Raw genomic sequence first — 20,067 nt, 5'->3', positions numbered from 1 at the left:
CTAAAGATCAGCACAGAAATAAAGAGATTAGGAAAACAGAAAAAATTAATAAAACTAAGAAATTTTTTTAAAAAAATAAAATAGACAAACCCTTACCTAGACTCACTAAGAAAAAAGAAGGCTCAAATAAAATCAGAAGCAAAAGAGGAGACATTACAACAGAGAGGACAGAAATACAGAAGATCATACGAAATTACTATGGACAACTATGTTTCAACAAATTGAATAATCTGGATGAAATGGATAACTTCCTAGACACATAACAACTACGAAGACAGACTCATTAAGAAATAGAAAGCCTGAACAGACCAATAACAAATAAGGAGACTGAATCAGTAAAAAAGTCTTCCATCAATGAAAAGTCTATGTATTAGTCCATTCTAATGTGCTATGAAGAAATATCTGACACTGGGTAATTTATAAAAGAAAGAGTTTTAATTGAATGACAGTTCTGTATGGCTGGGGAGGTCTCAGGAAACTTACAGTCATGGTGGAAGGGGAAGCAAACATGTCCTTCTTCACATGATGGCATGATAGAGAAGGGCCAAGCAAAAGTAGGAAAGCCCCTTATAAAACCATCAGATCTTGTGAGAACTCACTATCATAAGAACAGCATGGGAGTTACTGCCCCCTTGATTCAATTACCTCTCATTGGGTCCCTCCCATGACACGTGGGGATTATGGGAACTATAATTCAAGATGAGATTTGGGTAGGGACACAGCCAAACCATATCAGTCTAGTACATGATGGCATCTCTGATGAATTCTACAAGACATTTTTTTTTAAAAAAAGAAACAATATCAATCCTTCTCAAACTCTTCCAAAAATTAAAGTGGAAGGAATACTTCTAAATTTATTCTATGAGATTAGCATTACCTTGATACCAAAGCCAGATAAGAACAGTATAAGAAAACTACAGGGCAATATCCCCAAATGAATATAGATGCAAAAATCCTCAATAAAATACTAGTAAATCAAATTCAACAACACACCAAAAAAGTTATTCACCATGATGAAGTAAAATTTATCTTTGGAATGCAAGTATGATTCAATATACACCTATCTATAAAGGTGATATACTGTATCAGCAAAGTGAAAGATAAAAAAACCCTAGGATCACCTCCATAGAGGCAGAGAACACATTTGACAAGTTCAACACCGTTTAATGATTTAAAAAACTCCCAACAGATTAGGTATAGAGGCAATATACTTCAAAACAAAAAAGGCAATATACAGAAACCCATAGCTAGCATTATATTCAATGGTGAAGAGTTGAAAGCTTTTCCTCTGAGACCAGAGACAAGACAAGGATACCTACCTTTACCACTATTGAACATATTACTGCAAGTCCTAGCCACAGCAGTTAGGCAAGAGAAATAAATAAAAGGCATTCAAATGGAAAAGAAAGAAGTTAAACTATCCCTGTGTATTGACATAATCTTATATACAGAATATGCAAAAGATGCCTCCAAAAAGCTGTTAGAACTGATAAACAAATTCAGTAAAATTTCAGTATATAAAATCAATACACAAAAATCAGTAGCCTTTCTGTACACTTGCAATGAACTGTCCAAAAAGGTAATTAATAAACTACTCCATTCATTAATAGCAACAAAACAAATAAATACCAATGGTAAATTTAACCAAGAAGCTGGAAGACCTGTATACTGAAAACTATAAAACAATGATGAAAGAAATAGAAGAAAAGTCATATAAAAGATTTCCCATGTTCACATACTAGAAGAGATAATATTATTAACAATTTTGCAGAATTTGCTCATTTTTTCTAAGTTATCAAATTTATGATCATGACGTTTTTTGTTGTATACTTTTATCACTCTTTTAATGACTGGGATTTATGGTGATATTCACACTTTTAGTACTGATAATGGTTATTTGCGTCTTCTCCCTTTTTATCTTTGTCTAATTATATGTTTATCAGGTTTGTTGACATTTTTAGAGAACTCATCTTTTGTTTTATTAATTTTCTTTAGTTTTTTCCTCTTCACCTCTCTGTGTGTGTGTGAGATTGAGTCTCACCCTGTCACCCAGGCTGGAGTGCAGTGGCATGATCTTGGCTCATTTGCAACCTCCACCTCCTCCTGGGTTGAAGTGATTCTCCTGCCTCAGCCCCCTGAGTAGCTGGGATTACAGACCCGTGCCATCACACCTGGCTAATTTTTGTATTTTTAGTAGAGACGGTGTTTTGCCATGTTGGTCAGGCTGGTCTCAAACTCCTAACCTCAGATGATTCACCCACCTTAGCCTCCCAACATGCTGGGATTATAGGTGTGAACCACCATGCCTGGCCCTCTTCACCTCATTTACTTTCTTTTTCATACTTTGAGTTATTTTTCTATTTTTTTCTAGTTTCTTGAGGTAGGTGTTTAGAGTATTCTACTGAGACTTTTCCTTTTTTCTAAAGCAAGTTTTTAGTGTATAAAACCTCCATCTCTGCACTACTTTAGCTGCATGCCACAGATTTTGATATGGAGTGTTTTCATTTTTATGTATTTTATTAATTGTCTTTGAGATTTATTTTTGACAATGAATTATTTAGAAACTTGTTGTTTAGTATCAAAATATTTTGAGATCTTTCTTTTGTCTGTTATTAATTTCTACTTTGGTCCTATTATTGTTAGAAGACAAACTCTGCAGGATTTCAGTTGTTTAAATGTGCTGTGGTTTGTTTTAGCATCCAGGATATGGGCTTTCTTGGTGAGTGTTTCATGGATGTTTGAGTGAATGTCCTATGAATTCTTGAAAAAAAGTGTATTCTGCTATTATGTGTAGTGCTCTACATTTGTCAGTTGTATCCTGTTTATATTTCTTCTTTCACTTCTATCAGCTTTTACCTCATGTGTTTTAAGAATGTTGTTTGGTGCATACACATTTAATATTGTTATATATTCCCAATGAATTTATTCTTTTATGTTATGTAATTCATTTCTTTGTCTCTAGATTTTTTTTCCTTTCTTGAAGTCTACTTCATTAATATAGCCACCCCTTTCTGCCCTTTGACTAATGTTTTCATGGAATTTTTGTCCTGTTACTTTTAACCTACCTATGATATTTTATTTGAATTGAGTTTCCTGTAGACAGTATATTTTGGGGTCATATTTTTTCCCACTCTGTCAATCTCTCTCATTTAATTGGTGTATTTAGATTATTTTCATTTAAGGTAATTATTGATTTGGTAAGCCTAATTTTGCATTTTATTATTTTTTGTTTGTTTCTTGTTCCTGTTTCTGCTTTCCTTCATTCTTCTGTATATATTAAATTTTTAGGATTCTAACTTGATTTGTTTATAGTGTTTTTAAGTATATAGTTTTGTATAGTTTTCTCAGTGGTTGTTCTAGGTATTATAATATACATACATAACTTCTCACAATCTGCTATTGACATTTTACTAGAGTGAATTATATAATCTTATTTCTTTTTAGTTGTTTACCCTCCCCCTTAAAAATGTAATTATTTATTTTGTCTACATGTATTCTGTACCATGTAAGATTATGTCTTTGCCTCAACCTTCAAATATGATTTAAGAAACTCATAAGCTGTATTATAGCCTATTATATTTAACCTTATTTTATCCATCCTAGTGTTCTTTTCTAAAGTTCCAAATTTAAAAAAATAATTTCCTTTCTATTTAGGTAATTTTCTTTAGCCATTCTTGAAGGGTAGGTTTGCTAACAACAAATTCTCTTAGTTTTCCGTTATCAGAGAGTATCTTTATTTTTCTTCATTCCTAAATGATATTTTTGCCGGATAATAAATTTAAGGCAGAAAGTTTTCTTTCACACCTGAAAATGGGCCTCTTCCTCTGACCATCATGATTTCATATGAGGAATCTGCTGTCATTAGAATTGGTGCTCTCCTATAAGTAATGTGTCATTTGTCTCTGGCTACTTTCAAGATATTTTTCTTGCAGTTTTCAGAAGTTTAATTATGATGTTTCTTGGCATGGATTTCTTTAGGTTTATCCTACTTGGGGTTCACTCAACATTTTGAATATTTAGGTTTATGTCTTTCACCAAATTTGGGAAATTTCTAGCTGTATTTCTTTGAATGGTTTTTTAATCCAGTATCTTTCTCCTTTCCTGGTACTTTAATGATACTAATTATTTTAGTATTTTCCCGGATGCCTGTCTTTGTTAGTTCCTTTAAGTCTATTTTTTATCTGTTTTGTTCATATTGGGTAAATTCTATTGATCTGTCCCCAAGTTCACTGTTTCTATCCTCTGTCATCTCCAGTCTAGTACTGAATCCATGTAGTTAATTTTTCATTTTGGTCATAATTATTTTTCAGTTCTATAATGTCCATTTGTTTCTTTAGAAAAGAATTTTACTTCCTTGCTGTTTCTATTTTTGCATTTGTTTTAAGAGAATTCATAATTGCTTCTTGAAACACTTTTATGATGGCTACATAAAAATCCTTAGATTTAAAAACAATTATGTTAAAAATAAATATTCCAACATTATGTTTATCTCAGTATTGGTCTCTGTTTCTTGTCTTTTCTCATTCATGTTATTTTTCTGGTTCTTGGTATGAGTGACTTACTGTAATATTCAGGACATTTTGGAGATATTTATGAGAGTCTGGGTCCTATTCAGTTTTTCTTTCACAAGTATTCTCTCTGATGAGATGCAATGTGAGGATTGAGTGTGTATGTATCTTCAGTTTTCTTATGAGCCCTTATGACACCATTTTTGCAAAGTGGGCACTGACTGACACTGCTTCTTTGCAGATGAATGAGGTGGAAGTTCATATTGTGCCTTGGTCTCACTGATATCTTCCTGGAGAATGTAAGAAACTGGTTTGCATTTGTCTTGTTGCCACTGAGTTGGGGTAAAATATTTTTCTCCCTCTATTTTGCTGGACCCTGCTGCCAGTAGGTAGTGGGGAGCAGGGAGCTTAGAGAGCTCACTCACACTTCTTTGTTGTTATAGGATAGAGGGAACTCTCATACATTGTGGTTGGAAAGGAGAAGTATGATCACTTTTTAAACAGTTTGGCATTTTAGAAAGAAGTTAAGCATCTTTCTACTATATCACCTAACCATTTCACTCCTAGGTGTTTACCTGAGAGGAAAAAAACGCATATGCTTATAAAAAGACTCATATATCAGTTTTCACAGCAGCTTTATTTGTAATAGCTCCAAATTGGAAACAATCCGAATATTTATCAACAGGTAAATAAACAAAATAGATACACAACAAAGAAGCTAAAAATGATTATGCTAAGTGAAAGAAACAAGCCAAAAATACGTACTGTACAGTTCCATTTATGGAAATTCCAGAAAATGCAAAACACTGATAGTGACAGAAAGTACATCAATGACTTCCTGGGAATACATTTGGGATAGAGTGAAAAGAAGGATTATAAAGGGAGGTTATGGATATGTTTATTATCTTGATTGTGGTGATTATGTCACAAGTATATACATGTTTCAAAACTCATTAAACTGTACAATTTAATTATATGTTTTTTATTCTAAGTCAGTTAATATTTAAAAAAAACTCTTGAAGCAGAAGGAAAATGATCTGAGAAAGAAACTTTGAGATATAGGAAAAAATAAAAATCAAAGAGTAAAGCTGTAGATGAAGCTAAATGAGTATTGTTTGTATAAAATAGCAATAATAAAAGTACTAATTTTTATTAGAGTTGTGTAGATTAAGTATGGATATTACAGTTTCTAGAGAAATAACTAAAAATCAGTAGAATGTAAAATTAAAAAGCCAATAGAGAACAATGGAATTAATTTTTTAAAATCCAGTCAATTCAAATAAGGTGGAAAAGGAACACACAACAGGACCAAGAAATAAAGAACAAACATTAAAAATGTAGATTTCAAACCAAATATATTAGAATTTCACTAAGCGAATGTGGAAAAAGGCAAAGATTTTTAGAATGAATTTTTAAAATAATGTTTACACCAAATACATGCCAAATATAACAACACATATTATTCTGACACTGATCAAAAGAAAACTAGTTTTACTATAATTATACATATGAAATAGACTTTATGGCAAAAAATTACTAGTGATAAAAGGAAAAATTAATCAGCAACATATAACAATTATTTCACTTTAAATACCAGTGATCAACAAATTTCAGCATGCTTATCCTTTGTGTGACAACAAATTCCTCTGTATTTCTAATCAAGAGATAAAATGAGTTAACAGTCTCCATTTTCAGGCAAGGATCCTTTACAACTTCAAGTTACGAAGAGAAATTGTACTCTGTGGGTGCTCTTAGCAGCAAAGATTCTATGGTTCTGTGATTCTGAGTTTCCATGGTGATATGAGTCTCTGATTCCAATGTAAGATAATTAAGTTGCTGAGGAAGTTGATGTCATTTTCACCGTCCTCTCAAACCCTGAGTAAAAAAATTGGCTATTTCTAGTATGAGTCACAGCAAAGGCAAGAGCAACAGCACATGTAAAGGGTACCAGTGTGACCAAAAAGAGATTTCCTAAAGGAAGGAGAGGAAAGATCAAACAAGCATATATTGGTGTACTCAAAGCACTGCCATAACTGATTTAAAATGAAATTAAAACAGACTTTGGAAGCTGTTTGGAGAAGGCTGGAAGGGTTACCTGCTGCTTGACCCGATTTCCTTTGCAGTGACATTGTAAATCCATCATTGGATGGATTAGATATCTGAACATTAAAAAGACAGTAAAAGCCATTGTGTCTTTTTGTAATGTATATGATTCAAGACACCTGGACAAGAAACGAAATCTCTGGTACAAACCAATGGAATGTAGACTATAAATCTGAAGACAGACTCCACAGAGAAAGATAAAAATATCCAACAAATATAGATATTAAAGCAACTTTTACAAATAATCCAATTGCTTTAAAACTCTAAAACCCTAATTGATAATACAAGGGACTATGTTACTTAATCCTTTTCTCAAAGACCAGAATATAGAAGGAACACATTGAGTATAATTAAAGGATGTTATGTAAGTTACATCATTTACATTTAATTTTCTTACAAGACTTTAAATCTCTGTTGTTTCACATAATCACTTTGATTTGTCACCTCATTTTTTTGTCTTTGTTGTGGCAAACAACACAAAATGAAATACTACATGTCTTAAGTTTACAGTTTGATAAGTTTTAAAACATGCATAAACTAGTGTAACCCACATTCTTATCAAAATATAGACTACTTCCATTACACCAGAAATTTCCTAATCTAGTGTGTCCTCACTCTTGAAGCAATCACTGTTGTTTGTTCTGATTTCTTTCATCATAAGTTAATTATGCATGTTCTAGAACTTCATATGAATGGAAAAATATATATGCCTATACCAGGCTAATAAATGTAGCTTTATGGTAAGTCTTGAAATCAGGTAAGGTACATCTCACAACTTTGTTCTTCCTGATTGCTTCTGCTAAGGCTTGTTGCATTTTCATATACATTTTAGAATGAACTTGCCAGTTTCTAAAAAAAAAAAAAAAAAGTCCTGTTGGAATGTTAATGGGTTTTGTTGAATCTATAGAACAATTGAGGAGAATCAATAACTTAACAATAAGTTTTCTAATCAATGAAACTGAAAGCCAGGCATGGTGGTTTACACCTGTAATCCAGGCACTGTGGGAGGCTGAGGTGAGAGGATTGCTTGAGCCCAGGAGTTTGTGAGCAGCTTGGACAACAAAGAAAGACCTCATCTTTACAAAAAAATACAAAAATTAGCTGGACCATGTAGCTGGTAGTTGTTCTTCTGCTGACAGATGTTCTATTTCCTGGCTTTGTGGATTTTCACAGTAAACATGCACAGCTTAGGATTTGGTCATGTGCAGATTTCTGGAGCTATTTCTCTACAAAAAAAATACAAAAATTAGCCAGCCAGACATGAGGGCATGTGCCTACAGTCCCAGCTATTCGGGAGACTGAGGTGGGAGCATTGCCTGAGCCCAGGAGTTAAAGGCTGCAGTGAGCTTTGATCTTGCCACTGCACTCCAACCTAGGCAACAGATCAAGACCTTATCTCAAAAAAGAAAGAAATTGATATATCTTTCCATTTAATTTTTTAATTTTAATGCTTAATAAATTTCAGTAATGAATACAATAGCTTTTATTGTAGATTTTTGTACATGTTAATTTTATTCCTCTTTCACTGATCATATGGTAGTTTTTAAGATAATTTTAGTTTTCAATTATTCATTGCAATATATAGAAATATAGTTCATATTTTTATTGGCCTGTATTCTAGTCTTATACCTTAATAAATACACTTACTAGGCCAGGTACAGTGGCTCAAACCTGTAGTCGCAGCACTTTGCAAGGCTGAGGCAGGCAGATCACTTGAGACCAGGAGTTCGAGACCAGCCTGGCCAACATGGTGAAACTTTGTCTGTACTAAAAATAAAAAAATTACATGGGCATGGTGGCACATGTTTGTAGTCCCAGCTACTTGGGAGTCTGAGGTGGGAGAATCACTTGAACCCAGGAGGTGGAGGTTGCAGTGGGGCAAGATTGTGCCACTGCACTCCAGCCTGGGTGACATAGTGAGATTCCATCTCAAAACAACAATAATAATAATAATATAATAAAAATGGATGTTTCATAAGCAGAAGTTTGGCTCACTGAGATTTATCAAATAGTAAGTGTATGTGCAATCTTAAAATTTATTTCATCATACTTTGGACTTTTATCTAATGATATGTTTTAGCAGGCACTTAAGAAATTAATTGTGGTAAAATACGCATAACATAAATTTACAATCTTAGTCATGCTTTTGTTGAAAACTTGTTGTCATTTTATCAGTTGGATCCATTTCTGAACTATCTTGTAGGGAATCGGTCAAAGTGGTTAGAAAAATCATAAAGATAGTTACAGGAAATAGACACAAACCTTCTTGGAAGGCCGGAGGCATTGCATAGCTTCAGAAAGATTTGGCTGAAGGCAGCCTAATCCTCTTTACCATGAGTTGATAGCAAAAGAGCAAATAACAAGGGAATGTGGGGGAGTTTATCTAAATAGTTTGTTTACTTATGTGGTCCTAAGACCAACCTTTGATCATCCGCAGGTGCATGATTGCTCTCTATTCGGGGGTCAGCAATGTTAATTACCTTCTAGTGGTGTTTACTTGAGACTTGTCATTTAATCTGTACTAAATAAATGCAAACTTTGCTGGCTTATCGTGGCTGAGACTGCAGATTCAGGCAGCAGAGCCCCTTAGCCGCACTGACAGGCAAAATATGTGTCAGTGTACATCTTTCATCCGTCGGGTCAGGGTCTGTGGGTCAGATCCTGGCAGGTGGTGCCCCCTGAGAGGAACACTGCAAAAGGATCACAATGGATCCCTTGAAAATGAAGGTGAAAAGGACTGCGCAGTCAGTGAGTCAGTAAGTCATTGGTGCCCACTCAGGATTTCCAAGTTCGGGGGGGATTGTTCAGGCCAGGGTTTCATCATGGGACTACAGTTATCAGCTCAACAGATACAGTATATAAAAGTATTGAAACAGCTACTTAAAGCTAGTGGAGCCTCGGTTTCACAGGCTCAATTAAGGGACCTAATGCAAACTGTTGTATTCCATAACCCGTGGTTCCCAGAAGAAGGCACAACAATAGGCATAGAGCTCTGGGAACAAGTGGGGAGAAATCTTAACCAATATCATGAGCAAGGGCAATGGGTCACAGTATCATCTCTAAGGCTATGGGCTCTAGTAAGGGTGACTTTCATCCCATTATACACAGAAGAGCCTAAAAAAGGGAAGGAGGAAGAACTGTCACCTACTTTACCGCCTCCTTGTCCTTCAGTCCCACGATCACCAGGCCAAAATAACAAAGAGGAAACAGAGGTTTTGTGTGAGACCCCTCGTCCAATAGATAGGAGAAAAGACAAGGGATATGCTACAGCTATGGGACCATGTCTTAGGCAAGCAGCATTAGAAGGGGAGCTCTTAGTCTGCCTGGTAATGCAAGATTGACAAGGCAATCAGATATATAAACCCACTTCTTTTAACGCTTATATAAAGATAAGAAAAAACATTAGAAGCCGGAGCCATGCAGCCAAGCAGGTGGTAGGCAGAAGGGAAAGCAGCAAGGAAACTCATGGACCTGGAGCCGGTGAGTGCTCCTGGGAACTTGACCTTTCATGACAATTTAACAGCAGATGTAAGGCAACTTAAAACTAAAATTTTAGAATCCCTTCACACCTTAGATCTACACACCCAACAAACAGCCATATGGAAGGGTGTGTGAGATCATCTCTCTTGGATAGACCCCCACTCCTGGGGGTCTCTCCTTGATTGGAAAAGAATGTTGCTGATTATACTTATGTTTGTCTTGTTATTTACTAATTCTAGGATGCAAAGCCAGAATAAGAGCAGTGACTGCCACACCTCACAGACCTGTTGCTGCACACATCTGCCCTCTTCAATCAATAAAGCCTGATACAGAAAACAGAAAAGGGGGAGATGTAGGAGATCAGTCAAAGTGGCTAGAAAAATTGTAAAGATAGTTATAGGAAACAGACACAAACCTTCTTGGAAGGCTGGAGGGGTTGCATAGCTTCAGTAAGATTTGGCTAAAGGCAGCCTAATCCTTTTTACCATGAGTTGATAGCAAAAGAGCAAATAACAACGGAATGTGGGGAAGTTTATCTAAATAGCTTGTTTACTCATATGGTCCTAAGACCAACCTTTGGTCATCCGCATGTGCTCTCTGCTCAGGGGGTTGGCAATGTTAATTACCCTCTAGTGGTGTTTACTCCAGACCTTTGTCAGTTAATCTGTACTAAATAAATGCAAACTTCGCCAGCTTATCAGGGCGAGGCTGCAGATTCAGGTAGCAGAGACCCTTAGCCACACTGATAGGCAAAATATCTTTGTCAGTGTACATCTTTCATCTGTCACTGGGTCAGAGTCTGCAGGTTGGACCCCGCACTATCTATTCTGCTTTATTGATTCGTATGTCCATCCTTACAATAATACCACACTGTCTTGATTACCATAGCTGTGTGTATGTCTTGTGATCAAGTAGTGTTAGGCGTCAAATATTTTCTTTTGGTCATGTTATTTTGGCTATTCTAGATCATTTTCATTTGTATATAAATTTGAAAAATCAGCTTGTCAATTTCTACTCAAAAGCTTGTGCAATTTTGAATAGATGCACTGAACCTATAAATCAATCTGAGGAGACTGACATTGTAACAATAATGAGTCTTGTTTACATGAACATGTCACAATTCTCCTTCCATTTCTATCAGCAATGTTTTGTAGTTTTCAGTGTACAGGTGTTTTACATCTTCTGATATATTTGCCCCCAAGCATTTCATATGTTTAAAAATTCTATTATGCATGTTTTAAAGACTTTAATATCTTTTTGTTTATTGATAGTATATGGAAATAAATCTGATATTTTTTGATTTAGTGTACTTCAACCTTGCTAAACTCACTGATTAAGTCTAGTATCTTTTTTTGTAGAATACATCAGATTTTCTACATAGATCACATTATCTGCAAATAAAGATGGTTTTACTATTTCCTTTCCAAACTGTACACACTTTTTTTATTTTTTGGCCTATTGCACTGACTAGAACTTCCAGTACAATGTAGAAGAAGTCATGGAGTGGACTTCCTCACCTTGCTCCAATTTTAGGTGAAAAGCTCTCAGTCTTTTAATATTACATATGATGTTTCTCATAGGTTTTTAAAAATTACCTTTATTAAGTTTAGGAAACTCCCTTTTAGTTTCAATTTATAAAATTTCCTTTTATTCTCAAATCAGGAAGTGTTGTTGGATATTGCCAAATGCTCTTCCTATATCTAGTGAGATAATCACAAAGATTGTATTTTATAGTTTAATACAGTGAAATATACTGAAGGATTTTCTAGTGTTAAAGGATTGTTGCATTTCTGCTATAAACTGCACTTGGTTATGATGTCTTTTTATTTTTATATATTGCTACATTTGTTTTGTTGAAATTTAGTTTAAAATTTTTGTGTCTTTGTTCATGAAGGATAATGGTCTGTAGTTCTCTCTTCAAATGTCTTTATCAGCTTTTGGTATAGGTAATGCTTGCCTCATAGAATGACTTGAGAAATATCTCCTCCTCTTTAATGTTCTGAAAGAATTCATGAAGAATTTGCATTATTTCTTCCTTACATGTTTGGTATCATTCACCAGTGAATCTGTGTTGGCCTGAGTTTTCTTTGTGGGAACATGTTTAACTACAAAACTACAAATCAGTTTTTAAAAACTGATACATGGGTCTTCAGTTTATCTACTTCTTATTAAGTGAATTTTGGTAGTCTGTGTCTTTCCATAAATTTGTTCATCTAAGTTATCTAATGTATTAGCACTTAGTTGATTACTATATTTTTGTATTTTCCCTTAGATATCTGTAAAACCTCAGCTTTGTCAGAGAAAGTTTTTATCTCACTTTCATTTTTGAATGACAGGATTGCTGGCTATCATATTTTGTGAGGTTCTTTTTAGTGTTTTGAATATATCATCCTGCTCTTTTCTCATCTGGAAAGTTTCCGCTGAAAAATATTCTAGTAGTCTTATTGCAGTTCCTTGTATGTAACAAGTCACTTTTTCCTTGCTGCTATCAAATTTCTGTTTTTAGCTTTTGAGAATTTGACATAATGTGTCTTGGCATGGAACTTTTTGGATTCATCTTATCTGGTATTCTACCCATCTGATCTTCTTGGTTATGGATTTCTCTTCCCCTTTCCAGGCTTTGAAATTTTTCTTCCTTTATTTCTTTTAATGTTTTCTGTCTTTTTCTGTCTCTCCTACTTCAGGTACTTGGATTGTGTATATTTTTCTGCTTGCTGGTTTTCCAAAAGTTCGTTAAACTGTCTTGACTTTTTTCATTCATTTATTCTTTCTTTTTAGATGAGATGATTTCCAATGACCTGTCTTCCAGCTCATAAGTAATTTCTTTCACTTGATATAGTCTGTTATTGAACCCTTCTATTGAATTTTTTAGTCCAGTTACTGTGTTCTTCAGCTCTATAATTTCTGTTTTGTAACTTTAAAATTATTTCTCTTTGTTAAAATTCTAAGTTTGTTCATGCATTGCTGTCTTGATCTCAATAAGCATATTTATGACTGTTTATTGATTCCCTGTCAGATAAATCACATATGTCCATTTCATTAGGGTTGGCTTCTGGGGATTTATATTGTTCTTTTATTTGGAAAAAAAATTCTTGTTTTTTCATTTTCTTTGACTCTCTATGATGGTTTCTGTATATTAGATACAACAACTACCTCTCCCAATCTTGTTATACTAGACTCATGCAGGAGATGGTCCTCACCAATCAGCCCAGCCAGAGATTCTAAGTGCCTCTCAACCCTTTGAGCTTATCCAACTCACTGATTTTGTTCTCAATAGCTTCCAGGAAATTAGAGTGGTCCAAGTCATGCTAGTGCCCTGAGAAAGGTGAAATAAAAGCCAGTTTCTCAAAATGCAGCTTGGAGAACTGGGGTGTCAGATATGTGTTACAGTTACTTCTTTCCTCAGGGAGAAACTGAGAGCCACATTTTCGCTCTCATTCATTCTGATTTAAACCAAGAGGTTCTGTGACGGATGCTTGCACTCTCATTCAGACTGCGCTTTGGGGCACTTGATGCATGCAGAAATTCTTTCTAGGGAAAGTCTTCAGACCTGGATTTTTTGCTGTAGCATGCCAGTAGAGAAAATGTGGAGGATTACTCACTCTCTTGTTCAAGCTTGCAAAAGTCTCACAACCTCCCTTCAGGGAGAGTCTGCAGACCTGGATTTATTGCTGTTGTAAGCTGAGGTGGAAGGCACAGGAGTGCTGTCCTTCCCATTGAGGCTGGAGGAGGTTTATTCTTTATTTGCCACATAAGCTCCCATGTGCAGGCTAGTCAGAAACCAGACCTCAGGGTGGTGCTTGGGAAGTGTGCAAACTCCTTCCAGAAAGAAGCCAGAAGCTGGACTGAACCCAGGAGCTACAGCTGCTGAGAGTGTTTGCATGATTCAAAACCACTTCTGTGATCTTTGTGCTTCAAAGAAATTATCCAATGCCAAATCCCTGCTGCTCTCCATGCAAGGTGATTTAAGAGCCAAACCTGCTGGCAGGGATCATAAAAGCTGGGGTACCATATGTGTTGTAGGAACCCTTCACTCCTCAGGAAAAACCTAGGAGATGGGAATCCTAAAGTGGTGTGCTCAGGGTGGAGTTTGTGCATGAGTCTTTCTCTGCTTTTCCTACTCACTTCAATGTGGATATTTTCTTAATTCTTCAGTGCACGGGGGTCTTTCAACTAGTTCTGGCTTTCTTTGGAAGGTAATTGATCCATGTGTAGGTGTCTATTTGGGCATCTGGGGAGGAGGGATAGTCAGGAGTGTCCTATTCTGCCATATTTTGACATCACTCCAGTTCTAGGCATTTCTTATAAAATCCTTTGCATTTCTACATAGCAAATCATTCATATCATGCACATATATAGACACTTTTATTTCTTCCCGTTCTGATCTGTATGTTTATGCTTGTAATTTTGTTTTCTTGTGTTATTTTATCGGGCAGAATTCCCAGTACTATGTCAAATGTGTGATGAGAGTGAATACTCTTGCCTTGTTCCTGACCTAACGGGGAAAACATTAAGTCTACACATGCCTGATAATTCTTGATTTGATGCCAGATATAGTAAATTTTACTTTGTTGAATGCTAGATAATTTTGTGTTCTAATATATATTTTTGAACCATTGTTCTGCAGTTTTGTTAAGTTACTTGGGAATGCTTTGATCCTTTCAGGTCTGATTTATTAGGTGGCACGAGAGCAAGATTTTAATCTAGAGCTAATAATTCCCCACTACTGAGGCAACATCATTCTGCACACTCTTCCCAGTACTTCAAGAATTGTAAAGTTTTCCACTCTGTCTGGCAGGAACAGGCATGAATCTTGGCTTTAAAAATAAACTCCAATTGTTTTCTCTTATTCTTTCAGGTATTTCTTTTCCCAGGTTCTGGTAGTTTCTTTACATACATGCACTAATCAATACTCTGCTGAATACTCTGCAAATATCTGGAGTTCTCTCTCTGAGCATCTTTCAATTTTTTTTGTCCTTTGCCCTGGTCTCCACAGATTCTTAGTTATTTCTGCTTAACTCTGAGAGTCTGCTGTTGTCTGCCTGGGCTCCTTTTCTTGTGTTTGTCCTGGAAATTTTCTCAAGGAAGTAAACTGGGTCACTTCATTTGTTTCTCATCTCTCAAGGATTGCCATCCTTTACTGCCTGATGTCTAATATCTTAAAACTATTGTTTCATATAGTTGTCTGTTTTTAAAGTCATTTCAGTTATAAGTGTTGATATGGTTCGGCTGTGTCTCCACCCAAATCTCATCTTGAATTGTAGCTCCCATAATTCCCATGTGTTGTGGGAAGGACCCAGTGGGAGAAAATTGAATCATGGGGGCGGTTTCCCCCATACTGTTCTTGTGGTAGTGAATAAGTCTCATGAGATCTGATGGTTTTATAAGGGGAAACCCCTTTCGCTTGGCTCTCACTTCTCTCTTGTCTGCCACCATGTAAGATGTGCCTTTCACCTACCACCATGATTGTGAGGCCTCCTCAGCCACGTGGAACTGTGAGTCAATTAAACCTCTTTTTCTTTATTAAACTTTACTTTTGGTAATTTCTTTATAAATTACCAAGTCTCGGGTATGTCTTTATCAGCAGTGTGAAAATGGACCAATACACGTCTGCATTCATTCCCTGTTATTTTATCTTTGCCAGAAGCAGAAGTTTGGAATTATTTTCTAAAATTTATTTTGTTTTACAATTATGTAAATTTTTTGTGGTTCTCAAGTAAAATAAACAGGACATGGTACATTCAAAGGACAGTGGGTAATATTTATATCCCCTCTGTCTTATTTCCTTCTCAGGAAGTGTCTAAGATGACCACCAATGATCCCCACCTCCTGGTATTCATGACCTTGTGTAATCACTTCCATATAAGTAAGTAGCTTCTAACCAATAGAATATGGCAACATTGAGGGGATATCATCTCATGATTAGATTATAAAAGATTGTGACTACCATCTCCCTTATAGACTCTTTCTCTTGCCTCCTTAAATCAGCAAGTTTCCATGTTAGAGAGTTCTGCATGGCAAGGCACTGTGAGTGGCTTCTAGCCAGCAGCTATCAAAGAAGTGAATACTCTCAGTTCAATAATTCTTGAGGCACTGAATCCTCCCAAAATCATACAATTGAGCTTGGAAGTGGATCTTTCTCCAACTGAGCCTTCAGATGAAACCCTATCCTTGGATGATAACTTGATTATAGATTTGTGAGAGACCTTAAACAGAGAACCTAGATAATTTATGTCATCTTCCTGACCCACAGAAACTGTGAGACAACAAATGTGCATTTTTATGCCACTACATTTTGGGGTTATTTGCTACATTTTCATTGATAATAACACCCTTTATAGATAATGTTTTATTTGATGATTTATTTTTCCATTATTCATTTTTAATTTTTAAGGTAAGTATATATTTAGTTGATCTTCATTATTCACAAATTCTGCATCTGCAAATTCACCTACTTGCTAAAATCCATTTATAACCCCAAAATCAATACTGACAGCACTTTTGCAATTATTTGCAGACACACACAGAGTAGCAAAAATGTGTCACCTCATGTGCACATTCTCAGTTGAGTTAGAACAAGGCAATACTCTGGCTTCTTGTTTCACCTCTCATACAGAGAAGACCAGAGGATGGAGACAGAAGGGGCAGCACAGTAATGTACAAGAAGCTGCAGCTGTTAATGGAGTGACATTAGGCTTAATTAACACTTCTAAAGCTCATTTTCTCTTTTGTAAAATAAAATAAAATCTACCCAGGATAAGCTGTTTTTAGGATTATTTTATATATATATATGTATCTATATATATATGTGTTTATATATATGTGTGTGTGTATATATATATAAAATAGCTGAGATTTCATTTTACAAAATAATATTTTATATATATATAATTTTATTTTTCCCCTGGAAGCAATGGTTCATAACACTTCTAAACCTCATTTTCTCTTTTGTAAAATAAAATATACCCAGGATAAGTTGTTTTTAGGATTTATATATATAGATAGATAGATATGTATCTATATATGTGTGTGTTTATACATATGTGTGTGTGTATATGTATATATATATAATAGCTGGGATTTCATTTTACAAAATAATATTTTATATATATATATAATTTTATTTTTCCCCTGGAAGCAATGGTTCAGTACTTGCTAATCCAGGGTTTATGATGACTTTATAGAACATAACTTTTGTAAATAAAAAGGACTGGGGAAAGGGGTTACTTCATTCGTTTCTCACTGCAACTTTTTATATATATGTTATGCACATATATAATAAATACATACATATTCATTCACTTTTACGTTAAAAATGGTAATAGCAAATATTTTCATTTTTCCACTTTATGTTTTTAACATATTATATCCTTAATATAATTTCAGGATACATAATATTATATCCTGAAATTCACTTCATGTTAGTACAGAAAGATATTTCTCCCTCCCTCTCTCTCCTCCAACCCCTCTCACGGCTAAATAGTACTGTTTTAAATGTTTGTGTTATCTGCTGTCTTTTGGTATTAAAAACAGTTTTGCAATAATCTTTTGGCTATTTTTTATTGTGAAGAATGTATCTTTGGGATATATTCTTCAAGTGGGGTTTCTGAATCATAGGGTAAAAATTATGTAGTGCCGTGGTTTTAGAGATATGTCCATACATTCTTTGATAATCCTCCTTAAGAGGTGGAGCTCAATTCCCATTCATTTGATTATCGGCTGGCCTGAGTGCCTCACTTCTAGCCAACAGAATACAGAAAAAATAATCAGATGCCACTTCCAATTTAGGTTATAAGAAGCCTGTGGCTTCTGTTTTGTGTGTGTTCTCTCCCCCTTGACTCACTTGGACTGTACAGAAGTCAGCTATCATATCATGAGGCAGCCTTAGAGAGAGGGAAGACACCTGCCATATCATGAAAACAATAAGGTAGCCTAAGGAAGGGCCCACATAGTGAGGAACTGAGGCCCGTAAGCAGCCATGTGAGCAAGCTTGGAAACTGATATTCTGAGGCTTGCCCACAGCTATTTGATTGAGTTTGGAAGCATATCCTCCTACAATTGAGCCTTGAAATAATTGCAGCCCTGGCCTATGGCTTGATTGCAACATCACGAGAGACTAAACCTGAACCACCCAGCCCAGCTGTTCCCATTCTTGACTCACAGAAACTATGCGACAATAAATATTTATAATTTCAAGTTGCTAAGTTTTGGGTAATTTGTTACACAGCAATAGATAACTAATACATGTAGTTTTGCTAGATATTGCCAAACCCTCTAAAGAGGGCTGTAAGTTTGCTGTCCCACCAGTAACACATGATATTTCCCATGGCCTAACAGTGTTGCCAAACTTAGAAAATATTTTATAAGCAAATAGATGGGAAATGGTATTGTACTATGGCTTTAATTTTCTTCCTTTCATTATGAGGGAGGCTTCCTGTTCCTTCAACATCTTCTTTTTAAATTAGGTACTACATAAGGACAGCTTTCCGTAATTCTTAAGATGAAGAACTAAAGTTTTTACAATTCCTACAAGGCTCTCCGCATAGGAATAGTAGTAGAGTCTGGCCTTTTCCTGACTCTACAACTTCCACTGGCATCACTCCTTGAGGGTGAGGTATCTGAATTAATCATTACTATATACCTTTACCACTAAACTCAGTGTCTACACTGTCTTAAGCTCAAGTCAAGAAATAAATATTGATATAACTGTGGAAGTCTAAATAGAGATGAAGAGGTTAAGTGTTCACAACCAACTATTTCTTATCCTCTTTGTCTTGACCAACCTTTAGTCAGACTTCTCTCCTTCCCGCAGGCCCCTTCATTTTGGCTTCCCCTGAGTTGAAACACTGCACTAATGCACTATGATTCAAAACATCTCCCCTTAACCGCTTATTCTCAGAATTCCATGACAACAGAAACAATTTCTGTAGAAATGCCCTGGTTTTGCCACCTGCACACCCCTATCTCATATCCTTCTCCCTACAAAGTTCCTGCTAACCCTTCTTACTCTTCCCTATAAAAAAAAAAAAAGTCATTTTGTTGATATTGTGATTCTTGCAGATTTGAGATTGGAGCATTCTTCCTAATGCAACAGTGTTCTTTCTGAATACATTGTCTTCTTATCTAAGTGCATTTGTTTTGACATGAGAAATAAATTGCTAAATGTAAAATTGCTGCCTATTTCATAACATATCAAAAAGCATGACTCGTGTGAAAATTATGATTCAAAATTGTATTCATTTATACAAATGAAACATTGGTCTGTGAACATGCATTTTGCTTTTTTAAAGCTTGATGTAAGGTCTAAGGGTTAAGATAACAATTTTAGTATTCTCTTTGGCTGGTTCATTTTTAAAAAATCATGTTGTTGTTGTTGTTTCTGAAATCTAACCTTCTCAGTCTCTCCCTTATGTCTGTTCCAATTTTCAAGTCTCTTTTCTGTCTCAATCTGTCTGTCTACCACGCTCTACCCCTTAGATCCCCACTTCTATTCCTATGTCTATTTTTTTCTCTTCAGTCTCCCGTCTCTCCTCCTTTCTAGGCTGGCTCCTTTGTCCCCATTTCCCCCATTTTCTCTCTGATTCTCTGCTTCTCACTTCCCTCTCTTTGTGCCTCAGTCTCCTCTTCCCTGCTCTTAATTTCCCTTTTTCCTTCAGTCGACCTCTTATTACTTATTACTGCAATATCAAATTCCCTTATAAGGATTCCTTACCGTTGTTATTGGCATAATTACAGTACACAATGATTGTTCAGCCCCCAGATTTTGTCCCTCTCTCCCACAGTGAAATCTCCCTGGAGAGGACCGCACCATTCCACGCTTCCCCTCTGAGCAGTCGAATCTCCCGGCATGGGGCTGTACCATTCACAAACACGTCCATGGTACCATCTAAAATTCCTCCCCTTTCGTCAGAAGCATGCTTCCAATAGAGGAAGGTTCACTCCAACTTCCTCTTCAATCCCCCTTGTAAAATCTTTC

General features: G+C 35.6%; 1 long non-coding RNA gene across 1 annotated transcript; it reads right to left on the bottom strand.

Moving 5' to 3' along the window:
• Positions 1–5,126: 5,126 nt before the first annotated feature.
• Positions 5,127–19,935, bottom strand: LOC124901112 (uncharacterized). The gene is made up of 2 exons (XR_007058999.1): positions 19,804–19,935; positions 5,127–6,383 (listed from the first exon to the last, which is right to left on the bottom strand). It is a non-coding gene; the product is annotated as an uncharacterized LOC124901112 (long non-coding RNA).

Source organism: Homo sapiens, chromosome 5 (genome assembly GCF_000001405.40).
Source record: "Homo sapiens chromosome 5, GRCh38.p14 Primary Assembly".
Lineage (NCBI taxonomy): Eukaryota > Metazoa > Chordata > Mammalia > Primates > Hominidae > Homo > Homo sapiens.
Note: the sequence above shows the minus strand (reverse complement) of the source record. Positions and strands in the feature narration are given on the sequence as shown.